The sequence below is a fragment of the Homo sapiens genome, chromosome 21 (assembly GCF_000001405.40).
Source record: "Homo sapiens chromosome 21, GRCh38.p14 Primary Assembly".
NCBI lineage: Eukaryota > Metazoa > Chordata > Mammalia > Primates > Hominidae > Homo > Homo sapiens.
In genome coordinates, this window is record NC_000021.9 from 20792882 (window position 1) to 20810089 (window position 17208).

General features: G+C 36.2%; 1 long non-coding RNA gene across 4 annotated transcripts in view; it reads right to left on the reverse strand.

Annotated features, from left to right (window-relative positions):
* LINC00320 (long intergenic non-protein coding RNA 320) overlaps nt 1-10227 on the reverse strand; it is a 60519-nt gene extending 50292 nt beyond the window's left edge. For all 4 annotated transcript variants that reach the window (NR_109786.1, NR_109787.1, NR_024090.2 and 1 more), the window contains exon 1: nt 10114-10227. This is a non-coding gene — a long non-coding RNA (long intergenic non-protein coding RNA 320). The remainder of the gene's footprint in view (nt 1-10113) is intronic.
* Nucleotides 10228-17208: the final 6981 nt, after the last annotated feature.

Consider the following 17208-nt stretch of genomic DNA (forward strand, 5'->3'; position numbering starts at 1 on the left):
GGAGATCGAGACCATCCTGGCTAACACGGTGAAACCCTGTCTCTACTAAAAATACAAAAAATTAGCTGGGTGTGGTGGCAGGTGCCTGTAGTCCCAGCTACTCGGGAGGCTGAGGCAGGAGAATGGCATTAACCCAGGAGGTGGAGCTTGCAGTGAGCTGAGATTGCACCACTGCACTGCAGCCTGGGTGACAGAGCAAGACTCTGTCCAAAAAAAAAAAAAAGAAGAAAGAAATTCTAAGTTGAGAGATGATTTTGTTTTACTTATATTTCCCCAGAGTTTCCAACGCACAGGGCCTGTTTGGAACTGGGCAAAGTTTGTTATATGACATTTTAGAATTCATAGGCACAATGAAAGAACAGCTCTAAGTAAATTTGGAACTGTAAAGATTTGTTTATTCAGCTGATTTGAGGATATGTTGTTCTGAGGAGGTAAAGTAGACTTGTCTATTGTTCAGATAAATGGACAGTCAGGAAGTTTTTAAGCAAATCATAAAGTTATTACAGTGCTGGCTCAGAAAACAATACTCACAAGTGTGACACTTTGACATGCTGAGCTAAACAAGCAGTTTCGAGGTCTCTCTCTGACCTTCCCCTACCTCCCTGTCTCTCTGATCTTCTTTATGGAAGCAGCAAGATAAACCCTTCTTGGAATTTCTTTAAGAAAACTTCTTTCCAAAAAAAATGCTATTGCCTTAACATCACCTCTCTAGGGATCTCATCAAATAACTAGGAAAGATTACCCACAGAAGAAGAGAAGACTAGGAGTTTTCACCATTCCCAGACATATTTGTATCTATTCTTCTTGGAGCATCTCACTGACAGATTACCTGGGAGGCTTTATCTGCATAATAAGAAAACCTTTGTTCCCAGTGAAGTTTAGCCCCTCACCTACCTGCCACCTCCTTCAGTGCTGAGAAATATTTTGTCTCATGTCATTGTTCTTTGGGCTTATTCATTTCCCCTGAAAATCATTGATGCCTACATGCCTCACCTATCTCCTCTTGCCCTATGAAGGAGAGTGCAAAAGCATCTGGAGCTCACTGGGTTATTGAATAACCATTCTTCTGTGATTTTCTCATGCTCTGCATAGTAAATCAATCTGTATTCCCTTTCTCTTATAAATCTCTGTCTGTCGTCAGTTCATTTTCAGTGAACCTTCAGAGGGCAAAGGGGAAGCTTTCCCTTGGCCCCTGCAACATCTTCATCTTCCTGGGTTAAAAACTTTTGGACAATTAAATTCTTGTCAATTGCAGGCAGTAGAGTAGTAAATTCATGTTAGTTTAGACAGCAAACAGTGTCTGTGTGTAATGGTTTTAGTCCTCTTGTGTGAAATTGTCATTTGAATGATGGAAGCCAGATGTTGCTGGTGTTCAGGGTAAAGAGACATTGTGAGATAGAGCAAGGACCCCCTTTTGAGGAACCTGAAGCCCCCAAAGCATGGAAATAAAAGAAAATCCTGAGTTCCTTAAGGATAACTTCAGGTACCAAGCTAGCCCCAGAACTAAATAAGTAACTTGTTAAACAAGAAGGTAATAGTAGCTTAAAACAATAGCCAAGGAAGTTAGAGTTCTGGAGATACTTGCTTTCCTCATAGAAACGAAGGATAGCATCTTAACATATGTCCCTGACTTGTCTTTCAGAAACTTGGACCCCCAATGAGGACCTTCACCAAAGGGATTCACGGGCACAGATAAGGGCGAAGTGAAGATGAACTTTAACTATTGTCTTTTTCTCTAAATTTCTTCCTGAGGGAATTGGAGAAATCACTCCTCACCCCCAGGCAGTTAATGTTTTTCTACTGACCCCAAATTTTTAAACAAAACTTCTCTTCCTTAACTAATTGCAAATCAGCAAATCTTAGAATCTGTCTACGACCTGTAAGCACCACCATCCCTGCTTCAAGATATCCTGCCCTTTTAGGCCTAAACCAGTGTGTAATCTCCATGTACTGATTTACTATTTTGCCTGTAGCTTCTGCTTTCCTAAAACTTATAACTGCCTTTAAAAACACTTGCCTGCAAGCCATTGGGAAGGTTAGGATTTGAGCACTTAGCTGCCTGGTCCTCCTTGCTGGGTTCCTTGCAATAAATGCCTTTCCTTCTTTTGCTGCAAAACTCCATACAGATACCTGGTTTTACTGTGCTAAGCAAGTGGACCCCCGTTATGTTCTATAATATAACAATTGTATTTCAGTTATGCTGTGATAAGTATGTTCACAAATTATTGGAATGCATGACTGTTCTTGAAGACTAGAGAGAATTTCAATAGGAAGGAATGAGTAGGAAGGATGTCCCTGCTAGAAATGGCTATTTGGATGACTAATAAAACTATATGGAATGAAAAGGAGGTAAATCTGAATATGCAACTCCACAAAAAAAATAGCCAGAAATTAGGCTGGAAATAAGAGAGAGAACCTGATGTTGACCTAAGAATGTTGGCCTTTACTTGGTAGAAATCAGGGGAAAATTTAAATCAAATGTTGACTCAATAAAGACATGTCAGTTTAATAAAATCAGTAAATAAACCAGCTAGGATGTTCTTAAAAGCTGGATATATTTTATTGGTTTTAATTATCCAATATTAAAAGATGTCTATAGTAGGGGGTTTAAGGGTTAGATATTTCAGCTTCTCAACAATTCCAGGATTCTGGGGCAGCTTCATACTATTCTCCTGTTCACAGGACAGCTATCCTGTAGACCTGGCATACTATACTCATAAAATTAAGTCAAATCCAATATTTAAGAATGTGGATCTCTGTCTGCTTCTCTCTCTCTGCCTTTGTTGTTGTTGTTGTTAATCAGGAATGTAAATCTTTTCAGAAATCTTCCAGAACACTGAACTTTAGGTCGTAAGATGGACAGGATTAGGACACATGCCTATGTCCTTGTAAGGAAAGGAGTATGAAAGTAAAAGGAAAGAAAAAGGAATGAGGAAAAAAAATTATCCTTTTCAGAAATCAAATTATATTCTACAAAGATAGAATAATGTTAAGAAGTTTTATTTTACCTTCAGAAATGTTATTGAATTGATAGTGATACAGTCATGATAAGATAGAAACAAATGATAATGATTAAATAAAATATCAGAGAGGTTGTGATAATTGTTTAATTAGGAAACAATTAAGGTATGCTCTAATCTCATATCTTATTATTGCACAGATTCCAGAGAGATTAGCATAATTAATTGAATAACCTGAAGCCATAAAATAGATTCAAATGAATATATTTTTGATGTTGAGATCAGAATATGTCTAATGATAAAAGTGAAATCACAAATGAAAAGAGAGATCACAAATGAAAATATATATATCTATATATATATATGGTTTAATGACATGATAAAAAGATTTAAAAGAAAAATGCTCCAAAAATATTTGCCATTTATTTCATGAGTGATTGTATATTATTGCTAAAGTCAAAGAGCTTTACAGAATAATTTGTTTTTAAAAACCCACATAATTTTCCCATAAAGGGGCAAAGAGCAGAGACATGTAAACCAAAACCACAATGAGATACCACCTCACACCAGTCAGAATGGCCATTATTAGAAAGTCAAAAAATAACAGATGCTGGTGAGGTTGTGGAGAAAAATGAATGATTTTAAACTGTTTGTAGGAGTGTGAATTAGCTCAACCATTGTGGAAGACAGTGTGGCGATTCCGCAAATATCTAGAGGCAGAAATACCATTCAATCCAGCAATCCCATTACTGGATATATACCCAAAGGAATATAAATAATTCTATTATAAAGACACCTGCACATGTACGTTCATTGCAGCACTATTCACAATAGCAAAGGCATGGAATCAACCAAAAAGCCCATCAATGATAGAAAGGATAAAGAAAATGTGGTACAAATACACCATGGAATACTATGCAGCCATAAAAGGGAATGAGATCATGTCCTTTGCAGGGACACGGATGCAGTTGGGCGCCATTATCCTTAGCACACTAATGCAGGAACAGAAAACCAAATACCATGTGTCCTCACCTATAAGTGGGCACTGAATGATGAGAACACATGGACACATGGGGAGAGCAACACACTCCAGGGCCTGTCAGAGGTCAGGGAGTGGAAGGAGGGAGAGCATCAGGAAGAATAGCTAATGGATGCTGGGCTTAATACCTAGGTGATGGGATGACCTGTGCAGTAAACCCCCATGGCACATGTTTACCCATGTAACAAACCTGCACATTCTGCACATGTACCCCTGAACTTAAAAGTTGGAAATTAAAAAAGAAAATAAATTAAAAGAATAAAGAATATTTGTACCTCTATTTTTATTTTGACAACTTTACAATACATAGTACTGCAAATGAAAAAAATATGTGTAAAGAATAAATTATGAAAGAAAAACTACTAAAACCAAAAATTACAAATTTGAACATGATTATATTTTCTATCATATTGTAAAAGGAGAATAAACATGAATATATAAGGGGTGTTAAGGATGTTAAAAATTGGTCCTTCATATTTAGCATGTTGAAACCAATTACAACTATCACTGTAATCTCAGCACTTGGGAGGCCAAGGCAGGAAAATAGCTCGAGGCCAAGAGTTTGAGACCAACCTGGGCAACACAGTGAGACCCTGTCTTTACAAAAAATTTAATAATTACCCTAGTGTGGTGGCACACACCTGTAGTCCTAGCTACTCAGGAGTCTGAGGTAGGAGGACCACTTGAGCCCAGGAGTCTGAAGCTGTAGTGTGCTATGATCACACCACTGCACTCCAGCCTGAGTGACAGACAGGTTGTCTCAAAAATCTAGGAAAAATTTTTTTTAAATTTGTTAAAAAGGTAGCACTACCTCAACTAGTTTCTGGAACATGTTTCAGTAACACATATATTAAAATATTAAAATATGCTTTTGACTTATTAATACGGTGGTCAAAATACTACTCTACATGCTTTGTAAATATTAACCTGTATAATCTTACAAGTCTATAAACTAGTTATTTTTGTTTCTCTTCTACAGATGAGAAAACTGGGTTACTGAGGGGTTAAGTAAATGAACTCTGGGCTCACAGTTGATATGTATTAGAGCCAGATTTCAACACCATGGTGTCTGTCTCAAGAGCTCACATGCAGTTTGCCTCTCTACCTTTAATAATCTCACTTACAGAAATATTTAGAGGCATTATGAAGATGTATGTAGAAGGTATTTGCATAAGGAATTTTTAATGCAGCTAAAACTTTGATATGGAGTAAGTTCCAAACACAGGAGAATTTTGTTTAAAATGTTTACACTCATCATAATTGCCAGTGGTAATCTTATGCTTCCAGCTGGTGATTAATCCCATCAGCACTTTCTGTATCTTAAGTAAATGACAAAATCCATGTTCCAAAAACATCTGATCTGTAGTCTTTTTTAGCAAGAGTTTGGCAAATTCTTGGCAGTATCAGCAAAAGTGTGAATCTTTGGACAGAGGAGGTAGGCTATAGGAAGAAGGAAGTGTTCAAATTGTATGATTGCTTGGTAGACATCTCCCTTTCAGTCTTCATCCTTATCTCTTCTTACCAGCCAAAAGATTTCATTGCAAAATTCTCTTTCTTTCTCTCTCTCTCTCTTTCTTTCTTTCGTTCGTTCGTTCATTTTTTAGATGGAGTCTCACTCTGTCACGCAGGCTGGAGTGCAGTGGCGCGATCTCTGTTCACTGCAACCCCACCTCCCAGGTTCAAGTGATTCTCCTGCCTCAGCTTCCTAAGTAGCTGGGACTAGAGGTGCATGCCACCATGCCCGGCTAATTTCTGTATTTTTAGTACAGATGGGATTTCACCATGTTGGCCAGCATGGTCTCTATCTCTTGACCTCATGATTCACCAGCCTCGGCCTCCCAAAGTGCTGGGATTACAGCTGTGAGCCACCACACCCGGCCACAAAGTTCTATTTCTGCATTGTCTTCTATTCAGAAAAGATTTTGTCACTTTCAAATAGGGATCATAGATTCAGTCTGTTTCTCTGCCTAGTCTCTCTTTTACCCTAACCTCTCTTTCGGAGATAGACCAAAAGATAGATAGACCGACAATGAGAGAGAATGAGTGATAGTCCAGAATAGAGAAGGAGAGCAGGAGAACATGGGAGAGAGAGCGAGGCAATTTTTTCTTATGTGCTCTAACTTGATCCCTCTGTTTTATGGACTTTCTGTGTATGCTCTGCTGTCTAAAGTTTAGGAAAAAAACTTTACCATGCTCAGCTTAAGTTAAACATGTTTAATCTCTTAATCTATGTCAAGTGGTAGAACTGATAACCCCAAGAGATTAACCGTCATCTCCACTTTTCCAGCTCCTGGAATACTATATATCCTGAATCACCTAAGACAGGGGTCCCAAATCCCTAGGCCATGGACCACACAGCAGGAGGTGAGCTGCGAGTATTACTGCCTGAACTCTGTCTCCTGTCCGATCAGTGGCAGCATTAGATTCTCACAGGAGTGCGAATCCTATTGTGAACTGTACATGCGAGGAATCTGGATTGTGTGCTCCTTATGCTAATCTTTTAATAATGTCTGATGATCTAAGGTGGAAGAGTTTCATCCTGAAACCATCCCCACCCTCCTAATCGAAGCAAAAATCTGAACAAATTTTATGAACAGATGGGAACACTGTCTTTTGCAGAAGATGGGGATTATAAAAGACACATCATCATGAATTGATCCCCTCACATGTGGAGAGTGAAAATATTAATAAGAAACTGTAGGAGAAAACATGAAAGAGAGAGAGAAAAAAATTCAGAGAAGTAACCATAGATACCAAAACAAAAACAAAAACTCCTCTGTAATGAATAAAATGTCTTGGCAAAAATATAGACATTGCCCCTTTCCTGGACTACTCTCCGTCTTATGCCCAGAGTATAACAGCTGCAAAGAAGTAAAATAAATATTATGTTTGAAATGCAGATGAAGTTTAACAAAGGGGCATTTAATGGATGCAGAGAATTTTAAAATGTTTGATTCCCTATTAACTTGTTGGGTGATCTCATTTACAAAGAGAGGATTTGTGTTATTTTTGAAGAATTTAGAATGTCACAGAATTTAAAGTTGTAAGCTTGTTACATTAGAATGATGGTCATTGATATCAAGGTTTAAGAGTCTTCTGTTTGGGAGACTTCCAAGAAAACATTTACTATATAGTGGGTTAAATTACAGAGCCATACGAAGAAAATTCTAAGTTTTTGAAACATTAGTAAGAAGATTTTAAGCAAAACCTCAAAGCCTAACTTTGCGTGCCTTTGTTTTTGTTAACTATGTGGGATTCTAAATTACATTAAGATTATCTCCTCGATCCCAGTAGGAAAATGCAAGGTTTTGATTGGTATTTGTCAAGATGATACTTAATGTTTATATTGCATGTCTTATTTTAAAAATATGCAGCATGATGTATTAGGTTTGTAGGAGAAAGCGGTATAAAATGCATAAGCCATATATAATCTATCTGATATGGTTTGGCTGTGCCCTCACCCAAATCTCATCATAAATTGTAATTCCCACAATTCCCACTTGTTGTGGGAAGAACCTGGTGGGAGGTCATTGAATCATGGGGGCAGGTCTTTCCCATGCTATTCTGGTGATAGTGAATATGTCTCATAAGATTTGATGGTTTTAAAAAGGGGAGATTCCCTCACAAGCTCTCTCATCTTGTCTGCTGCCATGTGAGATGTGCCTTTCATCTTCCGTCATGATTATGAGGTCTCCGCAGCCATGTGGAACTGTGGAACTACGGAAATTTAAGTCAAAATTGTAAGGAGGGATTTAGAAGTTTTTTAAAAAATGCAAAAATTGTGGTTTTAAAATTAAATAATTGGGAGGTAAATTTGTTTACGGAGCCAGATATCATGTATATACAACTTGTATTTGAAAAAATGAATTACGGAATTATAGAATAATTAGTGTGCAGCATTTTGGAGAATGCGTTATTAGAGCTTTTCTCATCATCCCTAGGTGGAAAAGAGCCTTATCTCCAGGTGGCTGATAATCTCCACCAAGACAAGCCTAGTAATAGAATATTCACTTTTTGTAATACTTTGGAAACCTTCATTTTTTAATATTTTAATGAATTCCAATGCCCTTCAATTAAAAATAATTGAATTAAAGCTATCCATCCCCAGTGTGAAAATACGATGAGAAATTCAAATGCCACTTCATCAACAGAACTTTAAACACAGGTTTAAAAATACAACATTCAGCTAGCAGAAAAATTCCTCAATGTATTACTTTTTGACTGCGATATTACCCTTTGTTCTTCTGAAGAACTTATTTTTTCTTTTTTTTTGCAACTGTATCTGAATTACCTTTCAGATGATTGCCATATTGTCTGTGATTTCCCTTATATTTAAACACTTTACAAATATGTGTTTTACGTTATGAACTCAATCTCCATGTTTTCAAAATCTACATTTTTGCTTTTCAAATCTGTATTATTATCTTTATTAAGTTTGTCAACTTGTGAATACAGAACTTTTTCCCCAAAGGGATCCTTAAAGTCCTGGAAGTGTGTGTATTGTGTGCTGCAAAGGCGAATTTACATCAATGTATTAAAGAGAAACTATAAAATTGATCCATTAAGAATTAAAGTTGGAGCCGGGCGTGGTCGCGGCCACCTGTAGTCCCAGCTACGCGGGAGGCTGAGGCAGGAGAATGGTGTGAACCCGGGAGGCAGAGCTTGCAGTGAGCCGAGATCGCGCCACTGCACTCCAGCCTGGGCAACAGAGCTAGACTCTGTCTCAAAAAAAAAAAAAAAAAAAAAGAAGAAGAATTAAAGTTGGAAAGCCCCCAGTTTATGGACGGTAGTAAATTCCCCTAATTTCTTCTTGTATACATATCTTAAATGTTGGGAACAGGGAGGTAGGAGGGAGAATCTTGCTAAAACTATAAAAAGAAAAAAGAGAAAATTTATGGATTTATTGTTAAATTAATGGTCTTTTAAGAGTATTTAATATTATAGAAGACAGTAGTTGTATTTAAGCTTTAAAAAGAGCATAAAATCTGTGTATATTTCCCATTTAATAAAATTTAATGTATATTCACACATGAACACTATGCATTTGGTAATGTTCTATTACTAAAATCCTATGGATAGAAACAAGTTCATTAACTGATTTGGTTTGGCTCAGGAGCCCAGTTGCAGGGTAACAGAAACACATAAATGAACAATTAGCTAAATCAATGACGTTTAAACATCTGTTTTAAAAACTAGGCTTGGGTAATAAAGCCATAAGTAATTCTTATTATTTTTAAATAAAAATGCTTACTCAGTTGAATTTCTGCCCTTCCTCTAGCACTTCTCTAAGATGGGTTTTGGGATATCATTGAGAGCCTTGTACAACCGTCAACACTGTGAGCCCTACCTCCTCTTTGATTTTCTGAGCAGTTGTGTGCTACTAAATGATTCAAAATTGTCTCTCTGAAAAACAGGCAAACAAATAAAAATCTGACTTGTCGCATTTGCCAGTTTCCATGGTGTAAATACTCTTATGATCACTTCTAAAACTTCCAATATGCAATTGTTGAGAAGAGATGTGCACCGTTGGCCCCAGGAAGCCAGCGGGAACCTCTGTCATACTTCACTGCTTCTCAGGCACAGTCTGCTCCAAGAATACCTCTCCCATTTCTGGCAGTTTTTGGAGGTGGTTTAATGTATGACCTGTTCTTTCTAGGCTTGCTCAGGACTGCTATATTGGACCTTACCTTGTGCCCTGTCAAAGCTCTAGAATAGAGGTTAGAAACTTTTTCTTAAAGGTCTAGAGAGTAATTAATTTTAGACTTGCAGGCAAATGGCTTCTGTTGCAAAAAAAATTAACTCCGCCCTTGAAGCTCAAAGGCAGCTGCATAAAATGATGGATGTGGCTGCATCCCGGTAAATTTCATTTATAAAAACAGGCCCTGCAGCTCTTAACTGTCCCTTGCTCACAAACTCCTGAATTTCTGCTACAGCCTTCGACCAGCTCTGAACCGCAAGCTGTTGACACCACGGCTTCTGTGCAGGACTAGCATGAAAAGTTATCTCTTCCCTGTATTCGACTGCACTGTATAGTCAAAACCACTCTGCTTTCTTCCTCAGCTCGAATTATCAAACACCAAACCAAGAGCAGAAATAAAAATTTTGGCCACTTACCTTCTGTCTGTTTTCTTGTATTTTCTTTTCTCTTGATCCATGCCAGAAAGAAAAGGCAGTATTATTCCTGCTATGTCATGTTATCCTTCTACTAAAGAACAAAAATCACACAGTCCAGCTGGCATAGGCATCATGCCAGGGTGCAATTCTCTGCTCTGAATCCTTCAAACTTGTTCTTCAGGAGCTTGAAATATCTTTTTGTCTAAACCCGAATTTCAAAATCACTGCCTTGCTAAAGGGATCAAATACTCCACCTGCTTGGAGATGGTATCCTCATGATTCAGCTTTCAATGGGAGATGATTGAAAAGGGAAATTAAAATTCATTTAAATACTTCCTATGATATATGCATATTAATATTAGAAAAACATCAAAATAACAACAGTGCTTATATTTTTCTGGTGTAAGTAACTTTTAAAAATTACACAAGTAATCACACAAATAACTGCAAATTATTTTAAAATCAGAATAATTAAAATCTTAAAATAGTTGAAATTGAGAAGACTATGAGAAGCCTATACAAAATATTCTACAAGTTATTCCACATTATTTTCATGATAATTAAGTGGAAATTTAGGTAGTAGACTAATTAGCAAATTAAAAAAAGAAAATATGGTTATAGCAAAATGAAATAGATTCTCATGCCAAAGCTTGCCTGAGAGTTTTAGCCACAGACAAGGGGGAATATCTGTGTAATAGGGATGTTGCAGATGGTCCGATTTCCCTGAACCTAAACTAATCACTGCTCCTGCTTTGGTCTAAGAGAAAAAAAGCATCCCTTCAAAAGCATGAGAATGTGTGTTACATAAACCACTAGTTCTTTCTAATTCTTTTGCTCAGTCCTATCATTTAAAGCCTGAATAGATTAGAAATACTCTATTTAAATTTTTACATTTAAACAGTAGTCAAATGTATTTCACTATTGTATGAAGCTTGATATTTACATGCGAATTGAGTTTCATGAGATATCAAAGAATAACGATGTAGAAGATAATCTGTTACATACTCTTTTGAAGTATATTTTTTATGAAAAAATCTCTTGCATTTGGCTTTGTTTGTCTGTGTTTTATTTCAGGGTCATTATATTTTATCCACATGGAACATATTCTAGAACACATTTTCCTTTAACTTTATAAGAGACAGATAAGTATTATATGCATCACTGATATCTGAACATGATTAAGAAAATTAAATTGCCCGGGCCTAAATAATTCTTTAAAAGTGTCCCATTAGAAAAATCAGAACATGTCACATTGTAATTATTATCTTTTATAAAACATCACTATATTTAGAAAAATAAGTACATTATGGTGAAATAGCAAGGAAAAACCTACACTAATAAAATATATGCATACCGATGATATTTCTAACTGAATATTTTTAAATCACATTTATTAAAGGCAAGTTCGGATAAGTACTACTAATATTTTTATTTCAAAGAGTATTCTTCAACTGATGATATTTTTAAGTCTAGAGATACTGTGGCATTTTTTTGAAATATCAGTATCAATGAGTATATGTCACAACTTACTAGCATCAAATTAACTGAAAGAAAAAACCTAGATAAATAGAAATTTAAAAATTCAAAGATTTTTAACTCATCTATGCACATTTTCTCAATTTATAATTTGGGAAACTCAGGCACCTATGTTCCCTGAACTCACAAGTACTAGCAAAAATAGATATAGCACATGAGTTTAGATTCTTTACATGAGGGTATTGGGGTATAGAAAAAAAAGGCCTATGAAAGAAGAGGTAAAATTATAGCCAGTAGCATTTTATTGTCATTGTTCAAAGATAAAGAGCTAGGGGCTGCAATGCAGCTCTTTATTTTCTTGGCATGCTTGATTTTGAGATTTTAATTTATCTAAACTGAAGAGAAACCACTGGCTCAGGGGAAACCAAGTTTGTCATTTGATTGCTTGTGTGCTTGCTTGCTTGTTTTCCTAAGACTAATACCTGGGAGAAATATCTCCAGGGAGCACCTAATGATGTAGAGATATTTGTCCCCAAGGGTGTTCCTTCAAAACACTCAAGTGGGTGCTGTTTACTATTTTATATCACTTTTCCTCAGTGAAAGACAATTTTCCAAATGGCCAATCACTTCTCAGCATTCTAATTGTTTAATCTGATTGAAGAATAAAATTGAGACTAGCTTGAGAAGTGATCATTTGATCAAGGCCAGTCACACAATCTTTACAAGACTCTAACTCAGATCTCTGGAATCATAGGTAATAATATCACCAGTACTGAATTTTAGATGTAATTGAGAATTTCCTGAACTACTGTGTAGGTTCAATCTTATTTTGCTTTCATTTTCCTTTATTCCTATATTTATCAGGATAGTCTCTGGTAATTTTAATTTTTTACTTTAGAAGGTTTATTCTTTGTTATTCTTCAAAAGCTCCTTATAGATTTCCCATGTGTCAAGTAAGTAGATATATGCTATCTAAAAAATAAATTGACTGAATATTCAGTTCAATCAAACAACTGCATGTCGACAGATTGAAAGGAATACATTTGCTAAGAATAAATGTACAAGTTTCTTGCATTACCAGTCTTGAGACCAAGGTTACCCACAGCTCAAGTACTTCTTTGCTATAATTTTACAACCTCACTTTATCATGGTTTTGAGTAGAGACAATTTCTTCTTTAACCCTTTATTATTTATGGTAGTTACAAATAATGTATAACATAGTACATGTGCTATGTTTAATGGATTTTGAGTGAATAAATGATACATATAATTTCATAAATAATAAGTTTATATGATTACATAAATTATAAAAGTCTTAAATCAATCACCGTGTTTTACTCTGTCTATAATTTGGTCCATTAATTAATTAATTATTAAGATGCCATTCATATAAAATTTCAGTAATGGGAGTAAGTCTTCTTATTGGTGTCTTTTAACAATGAAGATGATTTTGGGTATGAAGTTATGGAAGAAATAACAGTTGTATAAAATAGTAAGGAGATTTATTTATTCAAGTAACAAGAATATATTTTTGGAGGCTGAGGCGGGAGGATGGCTTGAAGCCAGGAACTGGATACCAGCCTGGGCAAGAAAGTGAGATCCCCACCTCTACAAAAAGAAAAAAAAAAAAAGAAGGTAACAAGAAGAATGATCCTGGGAAGGATGACTTTTCTATTGGTTAATTCATGGGCCCAGTGATATCATTAATTACCTGACTCCATTTCACCTTTCTGCTCTATCATTCCTAGTGTTTTTCCAGTGTGCCTCATGGATGTAAGAGGGCTGCAGCGGCTCCACACAACACATACTCACATTCTAGTATGTAGAATGGCATGAACTGTCTAATCCCTAATGACTGGAACGGAACCACCCATCATGATTCTCCTCTGGACCTGGGGCTAGTTATTGGCTGTAGCGAAGGATTGTAGGGTTAAATACTGTTAGCTGGGAGCATAACTAAGAGTCTGCTGCATATCTGCATTGTACTGAGTTAGAAAGTTATTTTAATTTTCACAGATTGCGGCACAATGAGTGATCACTGCTTGATGAGGAATGATGAAGGCGGCATTCAATAAATGATTTGAGGAAGGTGCAGAGACCAAAAGTTCTGTATTGTTTCCATTCCAACAGGCTGAGAAAAGCCATGTTATTATGTGAAGTCACAGTATTAATACCAATTTTTCAAGGTGAGACTTATGAAATTAGCAAGAAATGGGACATTTGACAATATATAATATGAAATGATGATCCGTTGGCCTGAATAAGAAAAGATGAGTTAGAACGCTACAAAGAATCTTTCTGTTCACTGATGGGACAATTATCAAATGCATGAATACCCCTTTCCTACCCATTAATTTAAATCCTCTTTAAGGCCAGGCACAGTGGCTCATGACTGTAATCTCAGCACTTTGGGAGGCTGAGGCCAGCAGATCATTTGAGGTCAGGAGTTCGAGACCAGCCTAGCCAACGTGGTGAAACCCCATCTCTACCAAAAAATACAAAAACGTACCTGGGCATGGTGGCGCATGCCTGTAGTCCCAGCTACTCAGGATGCTGAGGTGGGAGAATCGATTGAACCTGGGAGGCAGAGGTTGAGCCAAGATCTTGCCACCACACTCTAGACTGAGCAACAGAGTGAGACCCTATCTCAAAATAAATAGATAGATAAATAAATAAATAATGTTTAATGTAATGTAAATCACTTTATTTCACATGGGTTCATGCAAATTTTAATACATCTTTAAAAAATCAGATTATGTATATATATAAAATTTGCTTATAGTCCACATACATTTGGGTCAGTCCTGCCCAGAAATATGAAAATTGCACTGCATGATCAATAAAATCATATGATCTGGAATCTGCTTTCTAATTTCCACTTCATACTCCACTGCTGTGAGATTCTAGACAAATTAACCTCTTTGTATTTCATTTTTCCTGTCTTCAAAATGGAGATATAATAGTACTTACGTCATTGGAATAGTGCAAAAACTAATAATTCACATAGAGTGCTTAGTAATTATTGGCTATTATTACTCTTTCTACTAGCCTGGTGCACTGATTAGTATGATTAATAGCAGTAGTGATGTGGATGGGAGGTTGGAACTTGAAGAGTTGATCAGGGAAAATTTCCTAGAGGCAGAAAAGTTTGAGGAAATTTTAAGAACACATTCTTTACAGTTTAATATGAGACTGCCACTTTGCCAAACTCTTTTGTAAAATTCCTCTGTTGCCTAAAAGTTGAGTAAAGTCTGGTAAACACACAGCCTTGGGTCCAGATCCCTGAGCAGAGTTGGCTTGTGGGAAGTGACACTATGGAGAAGTTGACTTCTGGGGAATGATATCATTTAGAAAATGGACTGTAGGTGCAGAAGAAAAAAAAAATCCAGAAGACAGATAAAGAAGCGCAGGTATGAATTTAGAGGTTGAGGTCAGGAGAAATATATGCAGATGATCCTTCATCCATATAACCAGGGACTTCTAGGGGAATGGGAAACAAAGTATTCCCTCCACCCCCACCATTTATGGAGAGCTGATTTAAGCAAATTTTACTTAAATAATAAAGGAAAAGGTGACACAAGCAAGCAACCTGGAGAACTTGGGAACATACAGCAAGTTGGCATATTGGTTACATATTGAATTATCTTCTGTATTGTCAGAGTGAACAAGCCAGCTTAAAGCAACTCTCCACTTGTAAAACAAATGAAACACATATTTGCTATTCTGTGATAAAACATTTTGATAATGTTGAAGGTTGAGTCATGAGCTCAGTTAAGCTTTTTAAATAGTTCAGTCTGATACTTATGACGTTTGTTTCATTAGCATTAATTTGCTTCTGCAATAAAACCTCCCTGAACATTATTTTGTTGCTACTATATATCATGAGGCACCTCTGTGGGTGCAAAGTGTAAGCATTTCAAGGTTTTGGAATGGCTAATCTCTAAACCAGCATATCATTAGAGAACCTACAAGTTACAACTTTTGACCCTGCTTGAATTTGTTGTATTACTAGCAACAGATATACACTTTTCAGTGGCCCACTCACTGTCCACAGTCTACTATCTGCATTTACAGGTCTAGTTCCTCAATATGCGACCCTGACCTTGTGAAATGGCCCTTCTATTCCTCTGCATTTCTTCACTCTTCATATTTAAAGGCTACTTCCAAACCCTATTTGTCAGATAGTTATTTCTGATTATATCTGTGCACTCATTCATTTATCAACACATACCACTTATTTTCTAATATGCTAATGCAGGGGTGGCCAACCCCTGGGCTGCCACCTGGTACCGGTCTGTGGCCTGTTAGGAACTGGGCTAACAAGTGAGCATAACCACCTGAGCTCTGCCGCCTGTCAGATCAGCAGCAACATTAGATTCTCGTAGGAGCATGAACCCTATTGTGAATTGCACATGTGAGGGATCTAGGTTGCACACTCCTTATGAGAATCTAATGTCTGATGATCTGAGGTGGAACAGTTTCAACCTGAAACCGTCCTCACCTGTTCCTCCTGCCACACGCACCATCCATGGAAAAATTGTCTTCCATGAAACCGGTCAATGGTGCTAAAAGGATTGGGAACTGCTTCACTAATAGCGCTCATTAAACGAATATTTTCTAATATTTTAATAGTGCTGACTTGTGTCATTGTTATTTTTCTCTGCACCTGAAAGTGTTGTGTTCCTTAGCAGATTATGACTTCAGAAGGGTTAAGGTCCTTTTATTAGATTCCTTTGCTTAGCACAGTATTCAACATATAACACTAATGATGGAAGCCTGATTTCGTATCTTCCAGTAAATTATATTGTTTATAATAAGAATGGGGAAAAGCTCTAGCAGGGTCACTGGTGATAGTTCATTAATATGGAATTTAAATCAAATTTTTAGAAATTAAAAAATAAAATATAGATGGGAATTTATGATACAGCACAGTTATATTTTAGAATTAACTATAAGTTCTTTAATAATAAAAAATGCATAAACATTCTCCAGGCATTTCATAGATGAGATAATGAATGTCTTGTCATGTTAATTAACAAATAAGCTAATAAGATGCTGATGAACAAATATTCATCAATTGGAATAGAGATTGGTAAAAATATTGATGGTCACTTAACTGGGAAAAAATGCACAGTTTTGATCTGGAATCTGAGACTGTTTGCAATGGAGCATCTACAAGATGTGTCAAATGTGAATATCAGTAACATGTTTTGTTTTGAAAAAAAGAAAATGTTTTCTATATTTGCAGACTTTTCCTATGATGGCAAAAGGATGTCAGAAGTACAGCAAGCAGCAAATTTATTTGAACATGTCTTATTCAGTATATAAATAATACTATAACAATATGTGAACAAGAAATATCTCTGAAAGAGACATGCTGTGGTGAGAGTATTTTGAAACCAGAATTTAGAATTTCTTTACTATGTGAATTTTATTGTTTAAAATTTTATGTGTATAAGGATATCACATTAAAATTCTCATTTGTGAAGAGTAAGTACTTAAAAATCATATTTTACAGCCTGTTGAGCATTTTAATATTTGAAGGGCTTCAGTGTGTTTTTCATTTATTCATGAAACAAAGAATGATACATATGAAGTGTTAAAATAGCCGATACAATA